Here is a 24,400-nt window from a genome sequence, read left to right as displayed (position 1 = left end):
CTTTCTTTTGAAATATCTGATCCAGAAATATTCAACTGAATTCGAAGTCTATTCATATCAGCCCCAGTCCCTTTAACATCACTTTTGTCTGTGATGAAAGATGAAGCACAGAGAGTGTCTTTAAAACTCTCAGTTTTTATACATTTAAAACAAGTTGGCTGGGCATGGTGGCTCAGGCCTGTAATCCCAGCAGAGGCAGGTGATTATTTATTTATTCATTTATTTTTGAGACCGTGTCTCACTCTGTCACCCAGGCTGGAGTGAAGTGGCGCGATCTCGGCTCACTGAAACCTCTCCCTCACGGGTTCAAGCGATTCTCCTGCCTCAGCCTCCCGAGTAGCTGGGACTACAGGCGCTTTGGGAAGCCATGGCAGGTAGATTGCTTAAGCCGAGGAGTTCGAGACAAGCCTGGGCAACATGCTGAAACCTCATCTCTACAAAAAACATAAAAGTAACCAGGCGTGGTGGTGCATACATGTAGTTACTCTGGAGGCTGAGATGGGAGGATGGCTTGAGCCTGGGAGGTCAAGGCTGCAGTGCACCATGATTGCGCCACTGCACTCCAGCCTGGGCGACAGAGTGAGACCCGATCTCAAAATAAATATAAATAAATAAAGTAAAATAGTTGTCAAAGTTGGTTAAGAGTCTTTAAAATCACCTTTTTCTGGCCTGGTGGGGTGGCTCACACCTGTAATCCCAGCACTTTGGGAGGCCGAGGTGGCAGATCACTTGAGCCCAGGAGTTTGAGACCAGCCTGGACAACATGGTGAAACCCTGTCTCTACTAAAAATACAAAAATTAGTTGGGCATGGTGGTGGGTGCCTGTAATCCCAGCTACTCAGGAGGCTGAGGCAGGAGAATCACTTGAACCCAGGAGGTGGAAGTTGCAGTGAGCCAAGATCCTGCCACTACACTCCAGCCTGGGCAGCAGGCGACACTCGGCCTCAAAAAAATAAAAACATAAATAAATAAAAAATAAATAAAATAAAATCACCTGCTTCTGCAAACAAAATGTGTCTTTGAGAATGATTATCAAGAAGTGGAAGAATTCACCACAAAAGTGTCCTGACCGGGGCTGGACGCTGCCCATGCCTGTCCTGCATCCCTGGGTTGCCCAGGTCCCTGCAGCTCTGTAGGTTTCCGGGGAAGGCAGTGGGTGATTCGGGAGCATGTTCCACATGCCCCTCAGAGGCCCCCAGTAGGTCTGATGTCTGGTGTGCCCCTGGGCTTGCCTTTAATGCACCCCACAGGCTGGCCTCTTTTCTCTGCCTCAGTCTCCTTGCTCCTCCCTCGTGCTTGCTGGGGCCACCAGCCTCCCCAGCCACTTCCTCCCAAGGCCTCATCTCACCTCTGCCTGGGAGGAACACAGACCAGGAGAATCCCACTGGTGTCCACCCATTCTGGCATACGCCTGATTCCAAAAAATCGTACTCACAAAAGTAGGATCAAGAGCGTATTATTATTATTTTTAATGGACTTGCCTTTATTTGGAATTTTATGCCCTTTCAATGTTTAAAAATCTTCCCCGGCCGGGCGAGGTGGCTCACACCTGTCATCCCAGCACTTTGGGAGGCTGAGGCGGCGGATCACGAGGTCAGGAGTTCGAGACCAGCCTGACCAACGTGGTGAAACCCTGTCTCTACTAAAAATACAAAAACAATTGGCTGGGCATGGTGGCACGCACCTGTAATCCCAGCTACTCAGGAGGCTGAGGCAGGAGAATCGGTTGAATCTGGGAGGCAGAGGTTGCAGTCAGCACAGATTGCGCCACTGTACTCCAGCCTGGGCAACAGAGGGAGACTCCATCTCAAAAAAAAAAAAAAAAAAAAAAAAAACAAAAAAAAAACAAACACTTCCCCACCTTTGAATTGCATTTTTTTCCTTAGCTTAAGTAGAAAATAGGACATTCAAGAAGGGCCAGGCTGAAGAGGGCGGTAGGGTGGGTGCCACGGTTTAGGGAGTGGGTTTAGGAAAGCTCTGGGATGATGGTTTGTGACCTGGAGCAAGTGAGAGATGGAGCTGCGCTGTTGTCTCAGGGAAGAGCAGCCCAGGCAGAGGAAGCAGGACTGCAAAGGCCAGGAGGTGGGCGGGGCTGGGCCAGTAAGGAGGCCATGGGGACAGTCACTTCCAGGTGGAGGCAGGGGATGGGGCCGGGTGAAGGACCTTGCGACTGTGCTGTGGCCCCCAGATATGGGTTGCTTCAGGGTGCTGAGCATGGAGGGCGGGGGCTGCCCTATAGCACAAGGGATGCCCTGGTGTGTTGGGGACCAGGCTGCTGCCCTGGGAGGGGAGAGACAGTGTTGGGGGCCATGTGAAGTGCCCGGCTTCAGCATCTATTCTGAAGGAAGAGCTGAAAGGATCCCAAGGGGGTGCCAGGAAGAGAAGGCTGAGTTCATGGTGTCACACTCAATCCTTAGACCCTCAAGGCATGTGGCCTGAAAGGTTAGTGAATGCCACCCTGAGGATTAGTGCTGGCGACACTCCATGTACCGGGGACTCGACCCTTTACCAGGAAGCCATGGATGGGACCCACCACAGCAAACCCGAGTTTCCACCTGCGGGGGGAGGGGTGGGCAGTTCTCAGCAACCCCCCTTGGGGAAGAGGGGCTCCTTTCTTGAGGGGCATTCCCTATGATCCTGAGGGTAAAAGGGCCACTCTGTTGAACGCAGGCCTCCTCAGGCAGTGTAATTGCCATTTAACCTTTGTGGAGCTTAATTAAGGATGTTTAGTCTGGGCAGCCTGCACTTGACTCAGTAGGTCACACCCGTGGCCTTCCCTCCAGCCCACGGCGGCCCAGACAGACAGGCTATCGAGGCGTCCCAAGAGGAAGGGGAAAGGGAGGGTTTCGCCTCTGCACTTCTCAGCCCATGGAGGGCGTGGGCCGACAAGGGGGCCCTGGAGGGTGGGCTGGGAGGATGGCTGCCCCCAGATATGGGCACAGTGCCTGGGGTGGCAGGGAGAGCTGAATGCATGCTCAGTGATTCACTCAGATAATGTCTGACCTCAGTGTGTGTGAGTGTGTGTGTGTGTGTGCATGTGGGTGTGTGCCCACACCTCCCACCCTGCTCACGTAGGAGAAGGTCAGAACTAGGGGTTTCTTCTCCACAGGTGAAGGTGTGGAAAATGGCAACTCCCAGCAGATCCCAGAGGCTGTGTAGTGCAGGGGTTGGCAAAGTCTTTTTTTTTTTTTTTTTTTTTTTTGAGATGGAGTCTTGCTGTATAGCTCAGGCTGGAGTACACTGGCGTGACCTCAGCTCACTGCAACCTCCGACTCCTGGGTTCAAGCAATTCTCCCATCTCAGCCTCCCGAGTAGCTGGGATTACAGGCACGCGCCATCATGCCCGGCTAACTTTTGTGTTTGTAGAGATGGGGTTTCACCATGTTGGCCAGGCTGGTCTTGAACTCCTGACCTCGGGTGATCTGCCTGCCTTGGCATCCCAAAGTGCTGGGATTACAGGCGTGAGCCACTGTGCCCGGCCTGGGACCGTCTTTCTGTAAAGGGCCAGGGAGTGAATGTTGCAGTCTTTGCTGGTGTCTGTCCTGGTGTCTGCATAACTACTTGACTGCCTTGGGAACATGAAAGCAGGAATGGTGGATATGTAAAGGAATGGCTGTGACTGAGTTCCAGTGAAATTCACCGCAACAGGCAGTGGCCAGATTTGGCCAGAGGGTGCAGTGTTGACCACAGGTCTAGCGCTGGCATGACTTTCTGTGAGGAATCTGAGGGTAGAAGGATGAAGTCCCTGGTTCAAAGACCCTGCAGGTTGATGTAGAATTTGCTCAGAATTCAGAGTGGCCCTGCCGTGTAGGTGTTCAAAACCCAGCTCTTGGAACCAGACAGGCCTAGGATTGAGACCTATTCTAAATTCCTAAGCCTCAGTGTCCTCGTGTAAGATGGTAGACAATGCCGTGTTATTGGATCCACTCATTCCATTCATTCAACAAACATGGTCTGAATCAAAGTAAACACATCCTTCTTTTCCTCCATTCCATGGCTATTTGTTGGGTGTTCTCACTGGCCAGGTGCAGAGCTAAGGTGGTGATGGGGACAGACGTGGTCCCCATGTTCTCCAGTGCCATCTTCCCTGGGGAGGCTTTACAGACCATCAGCTGTGCAGTTCCTGGTGCTGGCTACAAATGTGAATCTGGGCCCTCCCTGAGTTTGAGAGTTTAGGAATTCCACAATCTCCCTATCACAGTCAGTTCTGCTAGGATGCTTATCTAAAAACATGAATTTGTTCCAATATGATTGATATTTTAGGGAACAATTTGAACATCATGTGGATTTCAGCTGGCTTATACATGATTTTGTTGGCGAGAAACACTGGGTGGACACAGATGACTGCACTCAGCTGAGCCAGGCCACATAGGAACACGCAGGACATGCAGACACACACACATGCACACATGCATGAACACACACACGCACATACGCATCCACACAGACATGTAAACGTATGCACATGCACACAGATGGACAGACACACATGCACAAACATGCACATATATGCTCACGCACACAGTGCACACACGTGCACAAACACGCACACTTACGCACACATGCACACAATGCATGCACACACATGCTCATACATGAACACACACGTACACATATGAATGAACATGCACACATACACACATGCACACACACACATGCATGAACACACACATACACATGCATACACACACCTACTGGCCATCCAGTGCACCTCAAGTGTTACGGCCACACCTATCCTCATCGGAGTTACAGCTTTCTATTTCATACAACTCTCCTTCTGCCACTCATAATAACTCAAAAACTGCAGCCCTTCCTGACCCCCCTTCCCCAGCAAACTTTGCCTTTTTCAAGGTGAAACATTGTATCTGTTGTGGTCTTTATGTATTGTGTAACTATTGGTACCAATTTAATTAGATTCCTATCGTTTGTAATGTGACGTGTCGCTGTTACAGTTTCTGATTGCTGTTCTCCTAATCCCACTTTCTCCATAAGCCCTGTGACTTTGATGTGCAGTCTTGCACATAGTGCAGTGATTTTAAGGAACAAATACGCTATTTTGTAGTGACTGTATTTATCACTGGGGCTTCCTGAGTTGTAGTCCAGTATTTTTCCATCTATGTTAATTTTTGCTGCAGTAACAAATACGTCCTGAAATCTCAACAGCTTCATGCCGTAAAGGTTCACTTCTGTCTTGTACAAAGCCCAGTTCAGGTGAGTGGCTCTCCAGGTTGCTGCCTCCATGTTGAGACTCAGGGATCCAGACTGTTTTCATCCATGGCCCCCCATCCCCCACCATGCAGCCTCCATAGTGACTGACAAAGTGAAAGAGAGACTAGGGGGTCCTGCAGGATGTTTCCTACACTGGGCCTGGGAGGGGCCTCGAACACTTCCACTAGCACCCCATTGGTCAGAAATCAGTCTCACGGCACCCACTTAGCTACAAAAGAGCCTGAGAAATGCCATTTTCCTGTGTGTCCAGGAAGGGGACCAGGGTCGATGAATGCATCACAGTGTCTCAGCCACATCATGTTGTCTTGGTTCACTCACCTTCCAACAGTTCCCTGGCACCGACTCAGAGCCAGGCCCTGCTCTAGGCTCTGGGGATACAGTAGAGAAGATGAAAACCAAACTAAAACAGGACTATAGAAACAAATCCTCCCTCCATGGAGGTTACATTCTAGGGGATAGGTAGATAGGTAATAATCTTTAAAAAGTAAATGTGATGTTTGTCTGCTGGTGACATGGAGCCAAAAAGAATGCATGGAAGTGAGAGAGAGAGTTTGCGGTGGAGGGCGGGAGGTGAGGGTGGCCTTACAACTTTAAATAGGATGGTTGGCCCAAAGGCTTCTCGGAGAAGGTGGCATTTGAGAAAAATATTTAAAGAAGTTAGACAGGGAGCCATGTGGAAACGTGGGGTAAGAGTTCCACTGGGTGAGCAGACAGTGCAAAGGCCCTGGGGTAGGAACAGACCTGGAAAATCCCATGGGCTGCAAGGAGGCCAGTATGGCTGAGAGTGTCTCGGGGGCACAGCTGTAGCAGGAGATGAGATCAGAGCACCATCAAAGGGCATCTTGCTGAGGAACTTGCAGCCTGTTTTCAAGACTTTGAGTCTGAGGCTGCTGAGAGTCATGTGACAGCTGCCCTTGCACTCAGGGCACCCCATTCTAGCTCCTGGCTCCCCTACTGACCCCTGGGTGCCAGGTCCTTTGACAGATGGGAAATATGGGGCTCAGGGAGGTCAAAGATGGCCATTGCCCAGAATCATTATAAGATGAAAACGAGAAAGCAGCTATATGTGCTGGGTCCACCCAGTCACTTTAGTGTAACCTGCTTTGAATTCTGAGGCAGGTTCATAGTGGTGGGTGGGGGGGTTGGTAACCAAGGGAACAGCGAGTTACCCCTACTACCTCTTTCTCCGGCTGGAAGTTCAGCATTCAGACCCTCTGTCTGAGGATAGCATCTCTTGCAACACTTAGGGCCCTCGGAGGGCTGCAGCCCAGGTGAGGACACTCTGTGATAGCCCTTCCTCTGCGGGAAGATGGCAGGCAGGGAAGCAGCAAATAATTAAATTGATGTCGACATTCATTGCTTGTGAAGCCAGTAAAAGCATCACGTGGCCAGCTCTTGTAGCCGCACGGCCTATTTACAGTCTCACGTCATTTTTCTAGTAATCCAAACCAGCAAAGCGCTCTGAAGCTCCTGTGTGTTCAGCTGAGAACTCTCCGCCATGAGGAGCTGGTGGGGGATGCACCAAACCCTCCCTTTCCCGATGGGAGGGGGGACCTTGTTTACTTGGGTTCATGTGTTTTATTGATTGAGAGAAAATGCCTTTTGGCTATTGTCTAAAAGGTCAAATGCTGCAATCTTGGCATTTCGTGGGCAAATGGCAGGGATCCCGTGCCCGGGCTGTAGAAGCCAGCAATCCCGAATCAACAATTGCCCATGATGCCATCTCTCATGTTGATGCAGCGTAAACTTCCTCCAGATGTGTTTGAGTAAAGTGTGAACTGGGTAGGCTCTGAGGGGAACAAGTCGATCATGTTTCAAAATTTAAAATTCATGCACCTCTTCATCTGGCAGTTTTACCTCTAGGAATCCATGGTGCTAATTAACTTACAAATGTACCAAAGGCACAGGCATATTGCAACGGTCATTTAATTTGAAATATTCAAATGAATATATTTCATGTAAAATTTAATGAATGAATATATGAAGTGAATTGAACACTGAGATGCTGGCCGGGCGTGATGGCTCACGCCTGTAATCCCAGCACTTTGGGAGGCCAAGGCAGGTGGATCACAAGGTCAGGAGATTGAGAGATTGAGACCATCCTAGCTAACATGGTGAAACCCCGTCTCTACTAAAAATCCGAAAAAAAAAAAAAATCTTAGCCAGGCGTGGTGGTGGGCGCCTGTAGTCCCAGCTACTTGGGAGGCAGAGGCAGGAGAATGGTGTGAACCTGGGAGGCAGAGCTTGCAGTGAGCAGAGATCACGCCACTGCACTCCAGCCTGGGCGATGGAGCGAGACTCCGTCTCAAAAAAGAAAAGAAAAGAAAAGAGTTGCTGAAACTACTGGGAACAAAGGAAATGTCTGTTAGTAGATGATTATAAATAAATCAGGGCACATACCTGTAATGCAAGAATAGGTAGCCATTAGAAATCAAGGGCGGTCTCTGTGTGCACAGGCAGCATGATCTCTAAGGTACAAGGTTTGAAAGAATGAGGCAGAATAAAGACTGCATTTAGGCCCATTTATCTAGATTTTTTTAAAAAAGAATCTTGATGCTGGTATACATATAGACAAATTCTGCAGTAATACTCAGGTAAGTTTGTTTTTTTCTTTCTTGAGATGAAGTCTCAATCTGTTGCCCAGGCTGGAGTGAAAAGGTGTGCTCTCAGCTCACTGCAACCTCTGCCTCCTGGGTTCAAGCGATTCTCCCGCCTCAGCCTCCCGAGTAGCTGGCATTACAGGTGTGCGCCATCATGGCTGGATAATTTTTGTGTTTTTTGTTTTAATAGAGACAGGGTTTCACCATGTTGGCCAGGCTGGACTCAAACTCCTAACCTCAAGTGATCTGTCCGCCTTGGCCTCCCAAAGTGCTGGGATTACAGGTGTGAGCCACTGCACCTGGCCTCAGGTAAGTATTACAAGTGGTTTTGGTGATAAGGGAAACAGGGTCTTTAAAAAAAATAATATGCATGCATTATTTTTTGGTAATAAAATAATTTCCATCCTGTAAAGGCAACCATTATAGAAGAAAGAATACTGGTATTGAACACAGACCTTCTAAATCTGATCCCAGCTGCCCACCTAGGAGCTCTGTGGTCTTGGGCACGTGACAGTCTTAACCACTTTAAGATGTTATTTACTTGGTAGGGTCAGTGTAAGGTTTAAATAAGGTGCTATTTGCTGACACTGTTAAGTATGATATGACGTCACCCCATGGTCGGCAGTCTTGATATTATTTCATCTTTATAGTGTGTGTGTGTGTGTGTGTGTGTGTGTGTGTGTGTGTGTGTGTAAGAAATAGAAATGGGCTTGGCCAACATGAGGAAAAAAAGTGGGGAGTGAACAAAGGGAAGTTACTTGGAGGAATAAGGTGGGAACACAGAAGAAAAGCTTAACAATCAGGTCCTGGGAAAGACTGGAACTGGAATGCTGTTATGACTTGGGAACCAGGGAACAGGATCCATTAATGAGATGAATCAGCTGCGACCATTTCTCTTCTTCATTCACGCTACTCAGGATCCAAAGTCCCAGGACACAGCCTGATAGGCTTAGTTTGGATCTTTTGCCCACCCCCAGGCTTATGGAGGGTGGAGCACCTTGACTGACAGTAGGATTCACTAATGAGGGAGGAGGAAAATAGAAGAGTGGTCAACAAAAGAGAGATGGATTCTGGGTGAGCAGAAAGCCAAAATGAAACACATAAAATAGTGGCTGTTTTTCTTAAACAGTATTGAATTAGCCATGGTAGGCCAACTACTATAGTAAACAACCAACATTGCAATGGCTTAATTCGTAAGTTTATTTCTCACTCTTGCTGCCCTCCAGTGTTCTTGCTTCTCAGTTGGGTGGCTCTCCTGGGTGTCTGCTCCACACAGTCATTCAGGGACTCAGCTTCTTCCTGTAGCCTCCTCATCTTTCACTGCATCCACTGATCTGTCCCACAGACAAGGGAAGAGCTAACAGAGGGTATCCTTATGGGATAGAATCTGATCATGTGACCACACCTAACCACAGCTGGAAAGTTGTCTCATTGTGTGTTGAGGAGAAGAGGAAAAAACCTGGTGACTGACCTGCTGGGTCTGCTGTAGGCATCATAACATAGAACAAGTAATATTTTCATTCCAGGCCTGAGGACCTGTGAGTTTAATGCTTTCACCTAAGGTGAGTCATTTCTTCTCTCTAAATCTTATTTTATTCATCTCAAAACTGAGAATGTGGCTGGGCGTGGTGGCTTACACCTGTAATCCCAGCACTTTGGGAGGCAGAGGTGGGCAGATAACAAGATCAGGAGTTCAGGACCAGCCTGGCCAACATGGTGAAACTCCATCTCTACTTAAAGTACAATCACTAGCCGGGAGTGATCATGGGCGCCTGTAATCCCAGCTACTCAGGAGGCTGAGGCAGGAGAATTGCTTGAACCGGGATCCGGGAGGTAGGGGGTTGCAGTGGGCCGAGATGGCGCCACTGCACTCCAGCCTGGGTTACAGAGCAAGACTCCATCTCAAAAAAAAAAAAAAAAAAGAGAGAATGTTGCAGAAGATATAAGGTTTTAAACTTTTTCTTTGTCCAGATAACTTTCTCCGACTAAACCCAGTGAAGAACTAAACAGACCGCTGCGGAGCTGCTCCGGCTGATGTGGGGTGCAGCTGGGGAGCCCAAAGCCTGCATACTGACCCCACCCCTTGCTGGCGTGGCCCAACGCGGACTGTTTATGGCTCTGGGCACCCCATGTGCAGGCTGTTGTTGGCTTAGAGAGCCTCCAGTTAGGATGTGATCAGCCAGTATTTTGGACTCTTCAGGGAACTTTCAAAACTTTGCTCTGTTCTCACTTTGGAAAACTCTGAAGACATTTGAAACCAGGGCCACTTGGCACCCTCCCCGGCTGGCCCTGGGATGTGAATCCTCCCTGCTCAAAACCACCTGCTTGGCGCTGCAAACCTTACTGTACCACAATTTACTTATCTATTTATTTTTTTTTACGGAGGGGAAATGTTTAGCATCATAAATCATGCAGTTCCAGCGTTCCCTGAACCATTTCCATGAAGACGGGATCCAGAGCTGGTCAGGCTGTGGCACACCGTGGGCAGAAGCTCTCATGGTGAAAGGGAAGCAGGTCTCTCCTGGGCGTCTCCAAAGTCAGAGGAACATAACGGGCACATCTGCTTAGATTAGGAAAGAAAAGCCTCAAGGGCGAAGTGTTGATATCAGTTTACAGAGTGGGGAGACAGTTCCAAGCCACGGGACAGACTTTTTATTTTAAGTGACAATGATTTTGAAAGGGAATTTGTGTAATCCTGGCAATTTAGACATTAAGGTTTCAAAGCTCGAATGGACCCAAAGTAAATATATACACATTTTCCACCAAATTCAAAAAAAATAATCCTAAACCCCAAATGACTTTAGTCTCATTTCTTGAATCGGTTGCTTCCTTCCCGAAGTGGAAGAGGTCGAAGAATCAGAGGAGAAAAGGACAAGCGGACGCCCTAGTGGGTTCAGGGGCCTTTGGCCTCTCCCCTGAACTGGATTCCAAATGCAGCTTGTGCTGCACTTCAGGCTGCCAATGTCACCAACATCCTCTTGAAATCGACAAGCCTGTCAGTGTTTTCTCCTTGTAGAGATGGCATTAGAGTCCCAAGGGACCCCGAGAATTGCCCACTTGGGATTAAAGTCTTAAAAATCAGCCAGGAATTCCCTATTCTAGTATTCTCAAGCTTCCTTGGAAATAAGTGTCTATGTCAGTAGACAATGTCTACCCTCTGGGTTTATCTTAAAAACCAGCGAGACTGGACACTGCACTTAGTCAACTGGCCTTTCTTTAGATCAGGAGAAAAGGAAGGAGATGGCGATTAAACAAGTGAAGAGACCAGGCACAGTGGCTCACACCTGTAATCCCAGCACTCTGGGAGGCTGTGGTGGGTGAATCACTTGAGCCCAGGAATTCAAGACCTGCTTGGGCAACACGGCAAAACCTCATCTCTACCAAAAAGGAAAAAAAAAAAAAAAGCAAAAATTAACCAGACGTGGTGGTGGGACATGTCTATGGTCCCAGCTACTCAGGAGGTGGAAATGGGGTGTCACCTCAGCCTGGGGAGGTTGAGGCTGCAGTGAGCCATGATTGTATCACTGCACTCCAGCCTGGGTGACAGAGTGAGACTCTGTCTCAAAACAAAACAAATGAAAGATGAGTAATCTTTCTCCAGGTCTTCTGGAACCCTACCTTGCATCTAATGATGTGTCTCCAGGGAATCTTCTAGGGGCATCCACGTTTTCTGGGTTTGCACATTAAAAAGCTGGGGTGCACAGACAACACTGGCAGAGGTCTCACCAGGAGAAAGTGGGAGCGCTTCAATGAAGTGTTAAGAAGAGTGCTGGCCTGGGAGGAAGATAGATCTGAATTTAAATCCCAGATGTGCCTCTTATTTTCCCCCTGAACTCGGACACAGCAAAATTAGAAATGATAATGGTCATAGCTATCTCATACTGTGACAAAATGCCAGTGAAATGTTTAGCACTGTTCTGGAAGGTGGAGGTGCTGGTCAGTGGGAGCTTCTGTTATCTATGAATCTAACAGAAAAGTTCTTGCATCATGCAGAAGAAGAGGGGATTTAATACAGGGCATCAGGGTTTTTTTCTTTTTCTTTCTTTCTTTTTTTTTTTTTTGAGACAGAGTCTCACTCTGTTGCCCAGGCTGGAGTGCAGTGGTGTGATCTCGGCTCATTGCAACCTCCGCCTCCCGGGTTCAAGCGATTCTCCTGCCTCAGACTCCTGAGTAGCTGAGATTACAAGCGCACGCCACCACGCCTGGCTAATTTTTGTATTTTTAGTAGAGACGGGGTTTCACCATGTTTAGTCAGGATGGTCTCAAACTCCTGACCTCGTGTTCTGCCTGCCTCAACCTCCCAAAGTGCTGGGATTACTGGTGTGAGCCATCGCACCCCACCCAGGGGCTTTCAAGACTGTTGACGAGCTAGAGGAGTAAGGACCAGGGAAAGCTGTCACTCGTGCTCAAGGGTAACATGAAAGTTTGACAAACCAGGGTACTGCAGGACCACAGGAACTGCTGCGGATGGTACCAGCTGCCTGCAGCACTGAGGTGGGTGGCTGGCGGGACCCCCAGGCTGCCAAAGCTCACAAGTTCATCTGCTAGTGCAGTGCCAGGGAGCAATGGCTTCAGCCTTTCTTTTCTTTTCTTTTCTTTTTTTTTTAGAGACAGAGGAGGTCTCACTATGTTGCCTCAGGCTGGCCTCTGATCCTGGGCTCAAGCTATCCTTCTTCCTTGGCCTCCCAAAGTGCTGGGAGTATAGGTGTGAGCCACCATGCCCAGCCAGGCTTCAGCCTTTCTCCCACTTCCCAAATCTTGTATGGGAGGCTCTCAATGGCGAAGTCTAATCTAGAACCATCTGAATGGCAAGGGATTCTGGGAAATGTAGTTTCCAGGCTTCCAGCCCCTGCAGTAGTTGCCATGACATCCAGTATTAAGCAATAAGCTTGACCACTGATATTGTAGAAGAAATCATATAACTACACAAGAAGACCAAGAAAAGTCTCGAAAGAGCTGGAAACATCTACTTTGGACACTTGGATATCCAATGGAAAAGTGCTATTGAAAGTCAGAATATGCCATCACAGTCAAAGATGTTGGAAGCCTGGCTTTGAGATTCATTACAGGCCTTGGAAAGTGTGGGCATGAAGGTTGTCTGACCAAGACAGAGCCCTTGAGGTGTGGTGCTTGGGTGGCCAGGCCCAACAGGCCTGCTCTGAGAAGTGACCCTGCCCCAGGACTCACCTTCTCTGCGCTTCCGTAGTGCACTTTGTCTAAACCACGTGCGAGTCTGTTTTCTAATGGTTTGCCCTGCAAAGTATCTTGCTCCTAAATAGATTTTTTTAAAAATCATTTTGAGGGTAAAGAGTATTTTCACATCTTCGAAACCTACAAGGAAACGTTTCTTAAAAATAACAACAACAAAAAAATATGCTCATTAGGCAAAACTGAAAAACACAGAGAAGCGAAAAAAGGAAAAGGCAGACGTTCCAGAATTTCACCATTCCCAATTCTTCTGCACGACCTTCCGGAATTTCACCATTCCCAATTCTTCTGCACGACCTTCCGGAATTTCACCATTCCCAATTCTTCTGCACGACCTTCCGGAATTTCACCATTCCCACTTCTTCTGCACGACCTTCCGGAATTTCACCATTCCCACTTCTTCTGCACGACCTTCCGGAATTTCACCATTCCCACTTCTTCTGCACGACCTTCCGGAATTTCACCATTCCCAATTCTTCTGCACGACCTTCCGGAATTTCACCATTCCCAATTCTTCTGCACGACCTTCCGGAATTTCACCATTCCCAATTCTTCTGCACGACCTTCCGGAATTTCACCATTCCCAATTCTTCTGCACGACCTTCCGGAATTTCACCATTCCCAATTCTTCTGCACGACCTTCCGGAATTTCACCATTCCCAATTCTTCTGCACGACCTTCCGGAATTTCACCATTCTCAATTCTTCTGCACGACCTTCCGGAATTTCACCATTCCCAATTCTTCTGCACGACCTTCTGGAATTTCACCATTCCCAATTCTTCTGCACGACCTTCCGGAATTTCACCATTCCCAATTCTTCTGCACGACCTTCTGGAATTTCACCATTCCCAATTCTTCTGCACTGCTCTTATGTTCAGGTGGCTACACTTTCACTTTTTTCCCCGAATGCACACACATGTATAAATGTGTGACTGTGTTAACACATTCATAAAAAGCTTCCGCACGCCTACGCCTGCCAGGCACTGACTGCATTATTCATCATTTATAATAATCATAAACCTGACGATCAGCTGTTGTTGGAGTGAGAATAGGTTCCCACTCCTTGTGTTCCGAGGTGGAAGTCTCTGCAATGGGGCAGCATTCCTATTCTCTCTGCCTTGGAGAGCTCTTCCCTGCAGTTGGCCCCATCCATGGAGCTGGTGTTGAGGGAGGCGCGCTTTCCCAATCCTCCGTACCACAGGTCGTACAGGGACAGACAGAGGAGGCTGTGGTTTTGCTGCTCTGCTGGACTGTGGGGAGGTCTGTGTAATTTGGGGAGAAGTGTTAGCTACTCATCAACCAGCTGACCTAGAGGTATGTCCCCCAATTAGCCTTATCAGTAATAAACGTGATCCGTCCTTCTCCATCTCCCTGTCCCTGCACTCATCTCTCTCGCTGCTCTCTGCTTGTGGTGTGAAGAAAGGGGGATTGTGTATCGACCCCTAGGCACTGTGTTAAGTGTTCACGTGCGTGGCCTAATTGATCCTTAGAAAGACAAACAGTTGGTATCATTTTTAGACCGAGTCTCACTCTGTTGCCAGGGCTGGAGTGCAGTGGAATGATCTCGGCTCACTGCAACCTCCACCTCCCAGGTTCCAGGGATTCTCCTGCCTCAGCCTCCCGAGTAGCTGGGATTACAGGTGCCCACCACCACACCCAGCGAATTTTTGTATTTTTAGTAGAGATGGGGTTTCGCCACGTTGGCCAGGGTGGCCTCAAACTCCTGACCTCAGGTGATCCGCCTGCCTTGGCCTCCCAAGGTGCTGAGATTACAGGCATGAGCCACCGCCCCCGGCCATGACCATTCTTTTAAGGTGAAAAAATTAGGGCACAGAGAGGCTAGTCACCTGCTTCTAGGTCACACAGCTAGGAAATGGTGATGTTGGGTTTTGTCTCAGCTCTTTCCTTTGTTCCTTTCTTCGTTCCTTTCTCTCTCTCTCTTTTCTTTCCTCCCTTCCTTCCCTTCTTTCCTTTCCAGCTTTATTGGGAAATAATTCACACACTATATAATTTACCCATTTAAAGTGTACAACTCAGTGGTTTTTTATATTCACGCAGTTGTGTAACTGTCACCACAGTCAATTTTGGAACATTTTCATCACCTCAAAAAGAAACCCTGTCTTCACCCCCTCTATTTCCCTTTCCCTCTCCCCCGGCCCCTGGCAACCGCGAATCCACTCCTGTCTCTGTGGTTTGCCTGTTCTGGACGTTTCCTAGAAATGGGCTCAGACAATAGGTGGCCTTTTGTGTCTGGCTTCTTTCACTCAGCACCAGGGTTTCGAGGCTCGGCCGTGTTGTGGTGTGCGTCAGAACTGTATTTCTCTTTATTGATGAATAATATTGCCCCAGGCAGATGTACCTGTCTGTCAGCTGATGGCCACGTGGGCCTGTTGGCGATTTGAGTCAGCTCTTTCTCCTAAGACTCTTCTCCACACTCCCTCCCTCTGGGGCAGTGGATTTAGCTGAGGGCAACGCGATGCTGCTGAGACTGGCCAGCTTTGGGGCAGGCCCCCATGACAGTTACTTACCCAACCTGCAATTTAGGCTCAGCCCAGAGAGGGGAGAAGCATGGGGCCTCCGGGGCCAGACGCCAGGGTAGCCTCAGTGTAATGAGAGCTGTCATTCCCTCAGAGACGGGGAGGTAAGTGAGTGGGTTCAGAGGCAAGAAAGACAGTGTCATAGCTCTCTCTTCCTCCCAGAACCCCATCTCCTGGGCCCGACGTCGCGGCTCTGCTGGACATATCCCTAGGGACTTTGCGGTGTGATCTGGGCCACGGGTCAAGCTCTGTTCCTTCTGCATTCCAGCACCTGAGCAGCAGAAGGTCCAGGACAAGCCGGAAAGAGGGAAGAGCTCCCTGCAGGCATGACGAGCAATCCCAGAGAGGGCGTCTGGCTGGGCAGCTCCGCCCAGTGCCCCTGGGGCCGTGGGGTTTGCGTGGGACTGGCAGACAACACCCCAGAAGGGCCTCTGCCGCCACACGGATCTGTGTGTTCCTAGAGTCTGTGGTGAGCGGGAATGAGAGTGACCCTGTGTCGCCAAGGGATTTGCTGTGCTCAGCAGCCAGGGTGGCGGCAGAATGCATGCTTCTGGAAGAGTCCTTCCTGCTCATGACCGGCTCTGAGCGGCTCCCGAGGCCAGACTGGCTTTGTTTGCCAATCTTGAGAGTCAAAGGAAACGTGGCTCTTTCAGCTGCTTCAGCAAAAGAGAAGCTCTGAGCTCACATCAACAGGCTGCGAGGAACGGGAGCAAACACAGAAATGTAGCCATGGTGAGCCTGAGGTCAAGAAAGGAGAGGAGTCCATTAAGAAGAGGGACAGGGGCAGGAGGAGTCCATTAATAAGAGGGACAGGGGCAGAGGTGGGGTGTGTGTGTGCAGTGTGTGCACCTGTAGTCCCAGCTGCCTGGGAGGCTGAGTGGGGAGGATCTCCGAGTTCAAGCCCAGCCTGGGCAAAACAGCAAGACCCTCATCTAAAAAAAAAAAAAAAGGCTCCTGTCTCCTTCTCCTTCTCCTTCTCCGTGTGACAGCCAACTTATCAATCTGGAGGGAACAATTTATCCTATGAAGTGGGTAGTTTTATCCTCTTTTGTTCTTTTTATTTTTTATTTTTATTGTTGTATTTTTTGTGGGTACATAGTAGGTATATGTACTTGTGGGGTATGTGAGATGTTTTGGTACAGGCATGCAGTGCATTGTAATCACATCATGGAGAATGGGGTGTCCGTCCTCTCAAACTTTTATCCTTTGTGTTACAAACAATTCAATTACACTCTTAGTTCTTTTCTTTTCTTTTATTATTATTTTTTGAGATGGAGTCTCTCTGTTGCCCAGGCTGGAGTGCAATGGTGCGATCTCGGCTCAATGTAACCTCTGCCTCCCAGGTCCAAGTGATTCCCCTGCCTCAGCCTCCTGAGTAGCTGGGATTACAAGCACGCACCACTATGCGCAGCTAATTTTTGTGTTTTTAGTAGAGTCAAGGTATCACCATTTTGGCTAGGCTGGTCTCAAACTCCTGGCCTCAAGTGTTCCGCCTGCCTCAGCCTCCCAAAGTACTGGGATTACAAGTGTGAGCCACCATGCCTGGCCTCTCAGTTATTTTAAAATGTACAATTAGGTTATTATTGACTATAGTCACCCTGATATACTATCAAATAGTAGGTCTTAATCAGTCTAACTATTTTTTTGTACTCCCACGAGACCATTGCCCTGCTGACCCAGCTGCCTCCCACTCCCCTCCCAGCCTCTGGTAGCCATCCTTCTACTCTGTATGTCCATGAGTTCAATTGTTTTGATTTTTAGGTACCAAAAATAAATGAGAACATGCGATGTTTGTCTTTCTGTGCCTGGCTTATTTCACTTAACATGATGACCTCTAGTTCCATCCATGTTGTTGTAAATGACAGAATCTTGTTCTTTTCTTTTTCTTTTTTTTTTTTTTGAGACAGGGTTTCGCTCTTGTCGCCCAGGCTGGAGTGCAGTGGTGTGATCTGGGCTCACTGCAACCTCCACCTTCCGGTTTCAAGTGATTCTCCTGCCTCAGCCTCCCAAGTAGCTGGGATTACAGGTGTCTGCCACTACGCCCGGCTAATTTTTTTTTTTTTGTATTTTTAGTGGAGACCGGGTTTCACCATGTTGGCCAAGCTGGTCTTGAACTCCTGACCTGGTGATTCTCCCACCTCGGCCTCCCAAAATGCTGGGATTACAGGCGGGAGCCACCACACCCGGCCAGCTCTTGTTCTTTTTTATGGCTGAATAATACTCCGTTGTGTGTACACACCACATTTTATTTATCCATTAACCTGTTGGTGGACACTTAGGTTGCTTCCAAATCTTGGGTGTTATGAACAGTGCTGCAATAAACATGGGGGTGTGGATATCTCTTCAATATATTGGGTATCTAGCCAGCAAAGGGATGGCTGGGTCATATGGTAGCTCGAGTTTTAGTGTTTTGAGGAACCTCCAAAGTGTTTTCCATAGTGGTTGTTCTAACTTACATTCCCCTTAACAGTGTACCAGGGTTCCCTTTTCTCCACATCCTCACCAGCATTCATTATTACCCGTCTTTTGGATAAAAGCCGCTTTAATGGGGGTGAGATGACATCTCATTGTCGTTTTGATTGGCACTTCTCTGATGATCAGGGATGTTGAGCTCCTTTTCAGATGCCTGTTTGCCATTTGTATATCTTCTTTTGAGAAATGTGTACTCATATCTTTTGCCCATTTTTTGATCGGATGATTAGGTTTTTTTCCTGTAGAGTTGATTGAGCTCCTTATACATTCTGGTTATTAATCCCTTGTCAGAGGAGTAGTTTGAAAATATTTCCTCCCATTCTGTGGGTTGTCTCATCACTTTGTTGATTGTTTCCTTTGCTGTGCAGAAGCTTTTTAACTTGAGGTGATCCCATTTGTCCATTTTTGCTTTGGTTGCTTGTGCTTGTGGGGTATTGCTCAATACATTTTTGCCCAGACCAATGGCCTGGAGATTTCCCCCAATGTTTTCTTATAGTAGTTTCATAGTTTGAGGTCTTCAATTTAAGTGTTTAATCCATTTTGATTTGATGTTTGTATGTGGCGAAAGCTAGGGGTCTAGTTTCACTCTTCTGCATATGCATAGCCAGTTTTCTAGAACTATTTATTGAAGAGACTGTCCCTTCCCCAGTGTATGTTCTTGGCACCTTTGTCAAAAATGAGTTCACTGTAGGTGTGTGGATTTGTTTCTGGGTTCCCTAGTCAGTTCCATTGGTCTATGTGTCTGTTTTTGTGCCAGGGCCATGCTGTTTTGGTTACTATAGCTTTTCCTGTGTTTTTATGTTGACACATAATAATTGTACATATTTATGGGGAACAATGAGATGTTTTGATAAATAGATACATTGTATAATGATCCAATCACAGTATTTAGCACTGCCATCATCTCAAACATTCATAGTTTCTTTGTGGTAAGAATGCTTAAAATTCTGTCTTCTAACTATTTTGAAATATACTAAACAGTATTGTTACCTATAATCACCCTTCTTCCCATTAGCACACCAGAACTGATTCCTCATGTCTAATTGACCCGGTACCCATTAACTACACTTTCTCCATCCCCAGGCCCCCGCCCACTCCCCTCCCCAGCCTCTGGTAACCACTATTTTACGCTTCTGTAACATCTGCTTTTTGGATTCTGCATATGAGTGATGTCATGCGTCACCTCGAGTGTATCTTTCTGTGCCTGTGTCCTCCAGGTTCATCCATGTTGCCACAAATGACAGGATCCGTTTTTTTGTTTTTGTTTTTGTTTTTTAGACAGGCTCTCACTCTATCGCCCAGGCTGGAGTGCAGTGGCCAGATCTTGGCTCACTGCAACCTCTGCCTCCCGGGTTCAAGAAATTCTCCTGCCTCAGCCTCCCCAGTACCTGAATCATAGGCCTGCGCCACCACGTCCAGCTAATTTTTGTATTTTTTGTACAGATGGGGTTTCACCATGCTGGCCAGGCTGGTCTCTTGAACTCCTGGGCTCAAGTCATCTGCCTGCCTCAGCCTCCCAAAGTGCTAGGATTATGGGCATGAGCCACCATGCCTGGCCTGGATTGCATTCTCTTTTGTGGCTGAATAGTATTCCGTTGTGTGTATAGCCAGATTTTCTTTATCCATTCATTTGTTGATGGACACTTGGGTTGATTCCAGATCTTGGCTGTTGTGAATGGTGCTGCAATAAACATGGGAGTGCAGGTATCTCTTCCATATGCCAGTTTCACTTACATTGGGCATATGTCCAGCAGTGGAATTGCTGGGTCCTATGGCAGCTCTGTGTGGGGGCTTTGAGGAGCCTCCACGCTGTGCTCTGTCATGGCTGTACTAATTTGCATTCCCACCCCCAGTGTACTAGCCTCCCCCTTTCCCCACATCCTCGCCAGCATCTGTGATGTTTTGTCTTTTTGATAGTAGCCTTTCTAACTGGGGTGGGGTGATAGCTCACTGTGGTTTTGGTTTTATACATGGGGTGATCTGAGACTCAGAGAGACCGAGGAACCTGCCCGAGGTCACCCAGCTGGTTGGTGGCAGAGGTGAGCTGTGGGCCCAGGTGTCTGGTTCCAGAAGCAGCCTCTGCCCACTGTGCTGCATGTCTGGGCTCACTGCCTGCTGGTTCCTGGCCCTGGTTGGTTTCTGGTGCACTTGAAGAGAGGTCCTGGAGGTTCCTCTGCCCAAAACAGTCTTTTAAAAAACATTGTGGTAAAATATGCATAACATACAATTGACTGTTGTAACTGTTTTTAAGAGTTTAGTTCAAAGACATGAAGCACATTCACATTGCTGTGCAACCATCAACACCACCCATCTCCGTAGCCTTCTCACCTCCCAGACAGTAACGCTGTGCAGCCATCAACACCACCCATCTCCATAGCCTTCTCATCTCCCAGACAGTAAGGCTGTCCCCGACATTAACTCCCCATTTTCCATCGTCCCTCCCACTGACCCTGGGCACCCACCGTGCTTCTTTTTGTTTCTGTGATTTTAATGACTCTAGGTTCTTCATATAAGTGGAACTTACATATAGCTGGGACTACAGGTGTGCACCAACACACCCGGCTAAGATTTTATTAATATTTTTAAATTTTACTTTAAGTTCTGGGATGCATGTGCTGAACGTGCAGGTTTGTTACATAGGTATACATGTGCCATGGTGGTTTGCTGCACCTATCAACCCGTCATTCTAGGTTTTAAGCCCCGCATGCATTAGCTATTTGTCCTAATGCCCTCCTTCCTCTTGCCCCCTGACTCCCCGACAGGCCCCAGTGTGTGATGTTTCCCTCCCTGTGTCCATGTGTTCTCATCGTTCAACTCCCAATTATGAGTGAGAACACGTGGTGTTTGGTTTTCTGTTCTTGTGATAGTTTGCTGAGGATGATGGTTTCCAGCTTCATCCATGCCCTGCAAAGGACATGAACTAATTATTTTTTATGGCTGCATAGTATTCCATGGTGTATGTGTGTCACATTTTCTTTATCCAGTCTATCATTGATGGGCATTTGGGTTGGTTTGGCAGAGATGGAGTCTTACTATCTTGGCCAGGGTGGTCTGGAACTCCGGGGCTCAAGGATTCTCCTGCCTCATCCTCTCAAAGCACTAGGATTACAGGCCTTTTGCCCTTTTGGCTTATTTTAAAGAGCACAATGTCCTCAAGGTTCATCCACCATCCGGGGCTCCTTTCTTTTTAGGGCTGAATAATATTCCATTGTAAGAGAAATTGATTATACTTGCCAAGAGTTTTGTCTATTTTATTGGTCTTTCTGAACAGCCTGCTTTTTGTTTTATTTTTATTTTTTTTCTGAGCATTCCCGTATGCCAAATCCTGAATGCTCTTGTTTCCCTAATATAAGAATCTAGAGAAGCATTTTCTTCCTGGTCTCAAGACGTCTCGTTACTTAAGCCCTAGAAATAAATTAATTTTTTTTTTTTTTTCACAGACATGGTCTCCCTCTGTCATGGTGGCTGGAGTGCAGTGGTGTGATTATAGCTCACTGCTGCCTTGAACTCCTGGCTCAAGTGATCCTCCCACCTCAGCCTCCCAAGTAGCTGGGATTACAGGCATACACCACCACACCTGGCTAATTTTTAAAAATTTTTGGCAGAGGTGGAGTCTGACTTTGTTGGCCAGGGCAGTCTGGAACTCTGGAGCTCAAGCAATTCTCCCACCTCAACCTCCCAAAGCACTGGGATTACAGGGGTGAGTCCCTGTGCCTGGCCATAAATTGAATCTGAATTCCTATTTTGATTAGGTTTAAGTTCTATTCTTGGTGAAATATGAGCCTGAGATGAGCCACTTTCTCTCATAAAACTTGGCGATGCTCTCCCTGAGTTTTCTGAAATGGATTTTGTAGACATTTATCCCTTTTTTTGCTTGTATTTCAAGCAGAGACACATGAGAGTCCATCCTTGGAGTTGCTGCCCACGCTCTTCTGTCAATTGCATATCCTGCCCAGTGGTGCCAGCAGATAATGTCTCAGGAAGCTGAGGACATGGTGACAGCACTTTAAGCATCTCGAGGGACTGGGCACTTGGGAGGCCAAAACTTCATGAATCGAGTCTTGCTCGACTTTCCATGATGGGAATTCAGACCCCGAGGCTCAGAGGTACGATTGTTTTCTAAGGCGGTTGGTTGATTTTCCCACCTGGAAAACTGCCATATCGTGTAACATCTTTGGCGTTTTCCCTGGATGGCTGGAGAGACGTGGTTATAATGCTGTGAGTGCTACCACCCGAGGATGAGACCAGGAGCGACCTCTGAGGAGAAATGTGTTCTGTGCCATGGACGGGAGGGCAGCCATGATGCTGGAAGCATCCATTGTCCTCTGCCCCAGCTTCAGGGTCTATGCCAAGTTACATTCTTGACGGCTCACCCTGTCTACAAACCCAAGGCAAAGTGGAGGGTTGGAGGTAAATTCCCAAATGACTGTCCACACCCGTCAGCCAGTCACACTCCAGTCTCGGAAAAACAATTCCCGCAGGGCTAGCCACACTCTGCCCCTCCCCAGGGAGGGCAGCTCCAGGCCCCAACCTTGCGTCTCAAGTAGCACCTGAATTCAAACAGAATTCAGGTTCAAGTAGAATTTGGGCTTGAAGTGCCTGAACAATTGCTCCTGGATATCCCAATAAAGGACATAGACTGGAAAGGTAAATTGAGGCAGGCTCCCAGAGGTGGCCTCCTGACCCCTGGTCCCCCAGGAGACTGGGACCCTGGAGTCTGGGAGAGACAGCTTCCCATGCAGAGCCCCCAGGTGCCAGGTCAGGCCCTGCCATCCTCTCCGGTGGCCCTGACCAAAGAGGTCGCTGTGGTTCACCCCAGGGCTGGTTCCCTAGAGGGTCTGATCCCTCCGTGTTGCACTGACAAGGAACAGACATCCCCAGTGGGGTCTGGGGGGTACCTTGTCCTCCCCACTCAACCTGTGTCCTGGTGGCCCCTGCTTGGTGAGAGCAGCGCCTTCCCACTGGGCACTGCAGGAGCAGGGCTGCGTGAGGGCGATGAAGGGCTCTAAATAACCTGGGCTTCCTCCTGGAAAGGGGTCCTGGTCCCTTTCATTTTCAGGGTCTCAGGCTCCACCAGGCCGTGGAAACCTCTCCTTCTTCGCCCCCTCTGCCTTCCACCCTCAAGGCTCCCAAGGGAGATCCAGGAGGGCAAAGGGCTTAGATTTTCTGAGGCCCAGTTTCCCGCCTTTAGAAAGCAAGGGCTGTGCCGGGAGAGCCCGCGGAATGACCCAGGGCATGCATGGGGTTTCGGAAGGCCTGGGTTCCAAATTGCCCAGAGGCTTTCCTTCAAGAGACAGAGTCTGTCCCACCACAGCTTCCCTAGGGTTGATGTCAAGCAGTCACCTCCCTGGTGTGGCTGAGAGAGGCACAGTCTCTGCTCCATTGTCAACGGCCAAACTGCACCTTGACCAAACTTCAGTCTTCTCCAAGGACCAAAAGTTGGAGCCTCTTAATGACGGCACAGATCCCAGCCTAGGGGTTTTATTTTAAGCCCAGTGAGAGTGACTTGATGAGCTCCTTTCTCTGGAAGAGCTTGCTGAAGCTCAGGGTGAAGGAGAGTGCGAGAGGGCTCCCCAGAGAGGTCCCAGCCCCCACACTGTGCATGCTATTTCCAGGACAAGAGGGCCTTGGCGAGGTGCTTAGGGTTCTTGAGGGGAAGAGATTTTTCTAGGTGGACCCTAAATGAAGCCACAAGCATTCTTATTAGAGGGAGGGAGAGGGAGATTCTAAACGGAAGAGAAGAGGCCACGCACGGCTGAGCAGGGACTGGAGTGAAGTGGCCACGAGCCAAGGAGTGTGGCGGGTGCTAGAAGCCCAGAGAGATGCGGAAAGGGATTCTCCCTGGAGCCCGTAGAAGGAGCCAGCCCTGCCCATGCCTTGATTTAGCCCAGTGAGGCTCGTTTTGGACTTCTGGTCTCTAGAAGGGTGGGAGGACAAGTGTGTTATGTTAAGGTGCAGAGTCAGTGGTTTGTGACGGCAGCCACAGGGAATGTGTGCAGAAAAGCGGGGTCGCCGAGGGCCCAGAGGAGAGAATATGCGCCAAGGAGTGGGAGCTGGAGAAACAAAGCCGATCCACCCGGCACACGCACGGCATGGCACGGCACTTTCCCCCTGGAAATCTGTAAAGAAAAGCTGGGTAATTTATACAGAAAAGAGGTTTCATCAGCTCACAGTTCTGCAGGCTGTACAGGAAGCATGGTACCGGCATCTGTTCATCTTCTGGTGAGGCCTCAGGAAGGTTTCAATCATGGCGGAAGGTGAACAGGGAGCTGGCATATCACATGTCGAGAGTGGGAGCAAGAGGGAGAAGGAAGGAGGCCCCAGACTCTTTTACTTTATTTTATTATTTTTTT

At 48.5% G+C, this 24,400-nt stretch overlaps 6 annotated features.

The window, feature by feature from the left end:
• Positions 1,676-2,176: an enhancer, noted in NCBI's record as "H3K4me1 hESC enhancer chr16:87207921-87208421 (GRCh37/hg19 assembly coordinates)". NCBI's record gives its function as "activates a minimal SCP1, AML or CMV promoter by ChIP-STARR-seq in primed H9 embryonic stem cells {active_cell/tissue: H9 hESC(primed)}" and the evidence as "EXISTENCE:reporter gene assay evidence [ECO:0000049][PMID:30033119]".
• Positions 2,177-2,677: an enhancer, noted in NCBI's record as "H3K4me1 hESC enhancer chr16:87207420-87207920 (GRCh37/hg19 assembly coordinates)". NCBI's record gives its function as "activates a minimal SCP1, AML or CMV promoter by ChIP-STARR-seq in primed H9 embryonic stem cells {active_cell/tissue: H9 hESC(primed)}" and the evidence as "EXISTENCE:reporter gene assay evidence [ECO:0000049][PMID:30033119]".
• Positions 3,474-3,768: a silencer, noted in NCBI's record as "tiled region #1579; K562 Repressive non-DNase unmatched - State 13:Ctcf". NCBI's record gives its function as "represses a minimal TATA promoter and a strong SV40 promoter by Sharpr-MPRA in K562 cells {active_cell/tissue: K562}" and the evidence as "EXISTENCE:reporter gene assay evidence [ECO:0000049][PMID:27701403]".
• Positions 12,592-12,792: a silencer, noted in NCBI's record as "peak2654 fragment used in MPRA reporter construct". NCBI's record gives its function as "represses an SCP1 promoter by STARR-seq MPRAs in K562 erythroleukemia cells {active_cell/tissue: K562}" and the evidence as "EXISTENCE:reporter gene assay evidence [ECO:0000049][PMID:32103011]".
• Positions 12,932-14,131: an enhancer, noted in NCBI's record as "BRD4-independent group 4 enhancer chr16:87195966-87197165 (GRCh37/hg19 assembly coordinates)". NCBI's record gives its function as "activates an origin of replication core promoter dependent on BRD2, P300/CBP, MED14 and CDK7 cofactors, and independent of BRD4, by STARR-seq in HCT116 cells {active_cell/tissue: HCT116}" and the evidence as "EXISTENCE:reporter gene assay evidence [ECO:0000049][PMID:35650434]".
• Positions 15,899-16,448: an enhancer, noted in NCBI's record as "H3K4me1 hESC enhancer chr16:87193649-87194198 (GRCh37/hg19 assembly coordinates)". NCBI's record gives its function as "activates a minimal SCP1, AML or CMV promoter by ChIP-STARR-seq in primed H9 embryonic stem cells {active_cell/tissue: H9 hESC(primed)}" and the evidence as "EXISTENCE:reporter gene assay evidence [ECO:0000049][PMID:30033119]".

This window comes from Homo sapiens, chromosome 16 (genome assembly GCF_000001405.40).
Source record: "Homo sapiens chromosome 16, GRCh38.p14 Primary Assembly".
Lineage (NCBI taxonomy): Eukaryota > Metazoa > Chordata > Mammalia > Primates > Hominidae > Homo > Homo sapiens.
This window is presented reverse-complemented; position numbering and strand designations above follow the sequence as displayed.